Source organism: Homo sapiens, chromosome 9, assembly GCF_000001405.40.
Source record: "Homo sapiens chromosome 9, GRCh38.p14 Primary Assembly".
Classification (NCBI taxonomy): Eukaryota; Metazoa; Chordata; class Mammalia; order Primates; family Hominidae; genus Homo; species Homo sapiens.
In genome coordinates, this window is record NC_000009.12 from 129,349,178 (window position 1) to 129,354,729 (window position 5,552).

The 5,552-nt window shown below is 60.4% G+C and overlaps 2 annotated features.

Annotated features, from left to right (window-relative positions):
- Positions 3,123 to 3,924: an enhancer, noted in NCBI's record as "H3K4me1 hESC enhancer chr9:132114579-132115380 (GRCh37/hg19 assembly coordinates)". NCBI's record gives its function as "activates a minimal SCP1, AML or CMV promoter by ChIP-STARR-seq in naive H9 embryonic stem cells {active_cell/tissue: H9 hESC(naive)}" and the evidence as "EXISTENCE:reporter gene assay evidence [ECO:0000049][PMID:30033119]".
- Positions 3,925 to 4,724: an enhancer, noted in NCBI's record as "H3K4me1 hESC enhancer chr9:132115381-132116180 (GRCh37/hg19 assembly coordinates)". NCBI's record gives its function as "activates a minimal SCP1, AML or CMV promoter by ChIP-STARR-seq in primed H9 embryonic stem cells {active_cell/tissue: H9 hESC(primed)}" and the evidence as "EXISTENCE:reporter gene assay evidence [ECO:0000049][PMID:30033119]".

Consider the following 5,552-nt stretch of genomic DNA (forward strand, 5'->3'; position numbering starts at 1 on the left):
CCCCAGGTGGCAGTGTGGTGGTGGCGGCTCTAGGACCCAACTGGACGCAGGCGTAGACATTTCTGTAAGGACAACGGGCACCTGGAACCCACACAACCTTGCTCTGGGGCCTCTTGGAGGCACAGGGCTCTGGCAAATTGGGACATCATCCACCGGGGAGTGGCAGATGTTGCTGTTATTCCCAGTGAGGGGTGGCAGGGGTGAGTGGTGGAGGGTGTGGCAGTTTCCATGGCAGGGGCAGCTTTGCCCTGCGTGGCACCACGGTGGCCTCCCTTAGTCGTTCCTCAGACCTGTTCCTGAGCATTTGTGAGTCTTCCTGGTGCCCGAAGAAACCCTGGGGGCGGCTTGACATGAAACAAGAGCAGGAAGGGGGCAAGAGCCTGTGACACTGTCAGGGTGACCCTGTGGCTTCTTCAGGGGAGGGTGGGTGGTGCAGAAGCTTGGGTTTTGGAATCACACGGACTGGAGAGTGTCCTAGTTGAGTCTTATGCTGACTGGCTGTGTGACCTTGGGCAAGTCACTTAAGGTCTCTGAGCCCCCGTTTCCTCATCCACCCTAGAGGCACAGTAGTGCCCACGTGGTGGGCTTGGATGAAAGACAGAACTCGATGCCCAGGCCTCCTCACCTGGCAGCGCTGCTTTGCTCTGTCTGCTTGCCCTGGCGGTGGTGGCCTGGGAAGAGCTGAGTTACAGAAGTTGGGGGACTTCAGGAAGCCACAGTTCTCATCCCAGTGGCTCCTAAGTCTTGACAGCAGTGGGGTCCAAGCTATATTTCACACCCGCCTTCCCATTGCAATCTTGTTCTTCTTTCTTCTTGAAATGAATCTGACCCAAGTGATCAATACAGAAGGATGCAGGGGTAGGGGCTGTGAGACCTCACCTGGACCTCTCCATTCCCCACCAGATGCCCCCTAGGGTCTATGGAACAGTTGGAAAAACCCCTGGCCCCAAGAGGTGCTGGCGGCAGATAAACGGGGAGGGGGGGCGGTAAGGGGAGTCGTTTTCCAATGCATTCCTCACTGCTCTGGCTTAGAAGAAAGACGCGTCTCGTCTCGGGTGCTTCTGAGGGTCCTGCAGGGCCTGAGGTTGCTAAGCCAGGCGGCCCACCTTTCCCCCTTCCCATAAGACATGAAGACGCCCCTCCGTGTGGCACAGGGCAGAGCTGGCCAGAGCCCTGCTCAGTGTGTCTGGCCACTTGACCTGGGACAAGCCCTCCTTCTGAGCCTCTGCTGTATGGGGCAACCGTAGGGCCCTGGTTCGGAGCCCGGTGTGGGGAGGATAGGAGGAGCTGTCAGGCCCCATGCACTGCCCCTGGTGCCAGTCAGTACCTGATCAGTGGTGCTTGCCATTCTTTTTTCTTTTTTTTTTTTTGAGACAGGGCCTCCCTCTGTCACCCAGGCTGGTGTGCAGTGGCACAATCTCAGCTCACTCTGTAGCCTCGACCTCCTGGGCTCAAGCGATCCTATGTACAGGGCGTGGCAGTTTGCAGGGGCCAGGATCCTGGTCCTTGGTCAAGGCGAGGGAGGCCTCACCGGGCCCAGTTTGCAGATAAGGAAACTGAGGCTCCTTGAAGGCAGGCCACAGACTGCTAGTGGGTGTGGCCCCTTGACCTGACAGGCTATGACTAGGGAAGGGGCACGCTTTCCCCCGCTCCTCGCCCCAGTTTTAGGAACCCCCGCGGCATCCTTGTATATATATATATGTATATACGTATATTTCTTCCTCAGCTCCTCCTTTGTGTCTGAGGCGCTGTGGGGACTGTCAGAGGGGCCTGGAAACCTCCCAAACTCTGGCAAAGATGCCCAAACAGAGCAAGTTTGGCCCTAGAGAGCAGGGAACCAATCCCGGCCCCATCCCACAGAGGGGGAAACCGAGACTCAGCCAGCTGAGGGGCTAGTCCAGGCCCCCTAGGAAGCCGAGGTGGCCTCAGCCTCCAGGCCAGGGCTTCCTAGGACTGCAGTCCTCTCCTGCCCCTCTTCAGCCCCGCCTTCCCCGCAACCCCAGCATCCCCTGTCCTCTGGAGGAAGATTTCCGTGGTCCCGGTTGGGGGTGCCAAACTGCCAGCGACAACAGCGTTTTTTAAATCCTAGAGTCGCTGACTCGTGTGATTATTCTTATTTAAGGCAGGGAAGGTACTGGGAGTGGGGAGCCGGTCACCTCTGGGTGGGGGGCACCTCCGGGTGAGGGCGGCCCCTCCTGTCTGCCTTGTGCCCAGCTCCAACCTGGGGAGGGGGAGGAGAGGGGAAGCAGGAGGAGGAAAGGGGGGGAGGGGGATGGGAGAGGATGAATTAGGAGGATGGAGAAGGGGGAGGAAAAGGAAGGGGGAAGAGGGGGCAGAAGAGGGCGGAAGAGGAAGGGAAGAGGGGGCTGGGGTAAGGGGAGAAGAGGGTAGGAGGGGAGAAGGGGCAGGAGGAGAGGATTAGGGAGGGAGATGAGAGGGGAAGAGGAGGCTAGGGAGGGCGTGGGGTGGAGGGGGTGAGGAAAGGGCTAGGGGAGGAGGATGGGGAGGAAGATGAGGGGAGCACAGAAAAGAACCCCCCCGCCCCCGCCTTGGTGGCTCCCTAAGCAGATAGGAGATACATAATTTACTACGGAAATGCAAAAAGAATTGGGAAACTCTCAATTTATAAATATTTATTTTTACAAGTTCGCCCCTCCCGGCTCCCCCTTGCTGGCCCTGGTCTTTTCTCTCTGGGGCCCTCGGGGCGCAGGTCCCTCCTCTCCGGCTCCCACTCTGGCCCCTCTTCCCCTCCCCGCCTTCCTTCTGCAGTCCCTTCCCCCTCGGGCGGTCTCTGTCTCCCCCAGGTCCTCTCCTTCCTCTCTCCCGCCTGTGTCTCTCCCCCTAGTGCGTCTCTGTCTCTGTCTCTCTTTGTGGCGGGACGGGGGCGATTTTTGAGTCTCCCCCGCCGTGGGTTTCTGTCTCTCTGGCTGTCTCCCCCATCTCTCCATCTGCGTCCTCCCACTTGCCCCGCGCCCCCCGTCTCTCACACCCGAGGACCCCAGCTCCCGCCAGAGGGTCCGGGGGCGGCAAGAGCCCCCGTAGGCTCCCGGGGGATGGGGGGAGGGGTCGTTTCCCTGGCAACAGCCGGTCGGCGGGGCGGGGCGGGAATTGGGTTGAGCCCCGCCCCTGCCCCGCCCCCTCGCCCTGGCCGCGGGTTGGGGGCGCCTGGGTGAGGCTTCCGAAGCACGTGGACCGGGCCGTGGGGGCGGGAGGGGGCTCCCTGGGAGGCCGGCCCGGAGGAGGGGCGGGCAGGTAATCAGCCAATCAGTTAATCAATCGGCGGGTCAATCCATCAATCACAGGCCCCCAGAGCGGCTGGGGTTGAGCGCTCAGGGTGTGGAAAGAGCTGAGTTCTAATCCCTGCTCGGCCTCTTCCTGGCCGTGTGGCCCCCAAGCCCGGAAGCCCCTGCACAGCGCCGAGCCTCGGGGTCCCCTCTGCGCAGTGGGGCTGTGGCAGCACCTGCCTGCGGGGCTGACAGTCCTTCCTGGTGGCCTGGTAGTCCCTGTCCACCCCTCCACCTCACGGATGGGAAACGGGAGCTGCTGAGAGGGGAAGTGGCCGGTGGGCACAGAAGGGATGGAGCGGGGAGGGGCACCAGCCATTTCACAAGCTCGGCTGCATCTGCTGGCCCAGGCCGTTTTTTTTTTGTGAGCGGGGCCTGCGCTGTCCCCATCCTTGGCAGCACCTAGCTCAGTGCCCGACCTGCACAGGTCCTGGCTTCAGGTGGGAGAACCCGAAATGCCCTTTTGATCGCTCCTCCCGGTCCCTCTCCCCTCCTGGGGTGGGGAACTGAGTCCGGGAGAGGCCAGATGGATGCAGGGTTGCTTGGCTAGACCCGTGCCGGCCCCTCCTCTTAAGCCATCCCTAGGCCTGACACATGAGCTGGGGTGGGGCGGTTGTTTGTTAGTGAAGGAGGAGGCCTCAGGCAGCGTCTGCAGGGTCAGCAGCTGGAAGGGTCTCTAGATGCTTCCTGCAACTCAAAGCCAGTTGTTTGTAACCAACACGCAGGTCTGCTCAGCCTTCTAACCAGCACCTCTCCCAGCCCTGTCCCTCCCTCCCTCCCAAGCGGGCTGGGGGCTGGAGTGGAGGCTGATGAAGGGGCTGGTGGGAGGGCCCTCTCCAGGAGGGACTGGGGAGTCACAGGGAAGGTGGCTATTTATAATTTCAGCAGCCCCTTTAAGCCCGGGCTCCAGGCCTGCTGCCAGGCCGGTTCTGTTTGAAGCTCCCAGCTCTAATCCTGCTGCAGTCCTGCTCTCAAATCCAGATCCTTTGGCTGCCTCCCATGCAGGGAACAAGCCCGGCCTGCGGAGCTCTCCCAAGGCTGGGGACAGCTGCAGGGCTACTCCCTCACTGTCCCCAGCCTCCTATGCTGGGCAAGCACATCACACACACACACACACACACACACACACACACACACACACACACACATTTCCCTGTGCTACAAACAACAAATTCATCCTTTTTTATTTTTTTGTAGAGACAGGGGTCTCACTATGTTGCCCAGGCTGGTCTCAAACTCCTGGCCTCAAGCCATCCTACTGCCTTGGCCTCCCAGAGTGCTGGGATTGCAGGCATGAGCCAATGTGCCCGGCCTACAAACGTGCTTTTCATAGACTGGCATTTCATGTCTGTGGCCTGTGGGCCCCAATCCCAAGGCCTGCCCTGCCCTCTGCGGGAAGGATGTTTTCAGAACTTTGTGGCCCTCCCCAAAGGTTCTAGGTTCTATGCCCCACCTCCTTAGAGCCCCAGGGCCCCCAAGTGTGTTCAGAACCCGAACCAGCCTAGGAACTGACAGGAAGAAAGAGTGGAAGTTGTGGTGGGGAGGGGTTGTCGGGTCTTGAAGGAGGGGAGTTGGTTCAGATGCCCAGGGCAGCCCTGTCCCGTCGGGTCCGCCCAGCGGCCTCTGCCCATTCCCATGCTGGGCTCTGTGCCCGGGCTCTCCGTGTCTTACCTGCCCCTGGTGGACGTGTTCTTACTCCCATTTTACAGATGGGGAAGGTGAGGCTGGGAGTATAGGTAACACACCCAAGGTCCCCCAGCTAGTGAGAAGAAGGGTGGGGTTTGAGCCAAACTCTCTGGGGCTCTATGGGTCAGGCTGTCCCCCACTTCTGCACTGGCAGTGTGGGTACTTGGCAACATCCTGCCAGCTTTTCCCTGCTGCTGGTCTGGGGCTTCCACAAGGCCTTCTGGGTGGCAGGGTGGCTTGCGTCTCTGTGTGGCACACTATGGTGTCCAGTCCACATCCCTGGCTGACCGCATGTACTGGGGAGAAAGGAAAGAATAGAGACGCAGGGGAGGCCCCTCGGTCCAGCTGCACTGTTGGTAACGAGGGTCTCAGAGCAGACCCAGAGATCAGGCTGTGGAGCATCTCAGGCAGCTCTAGGGGAAGGGAAGGCATAGAAAAGACTAGAGGGGTCAGTGAGGACCAGGCCCCGAGACTCAGGGAGCCCCATGTCAGACCAGGCACCAGGAAGGGAGTTGAGGCCAGGGATTCTGCTCCAGAACTAGCTGTGTGACCTTAGGTAAGGCCCTTTACCTCTCTGGGCCT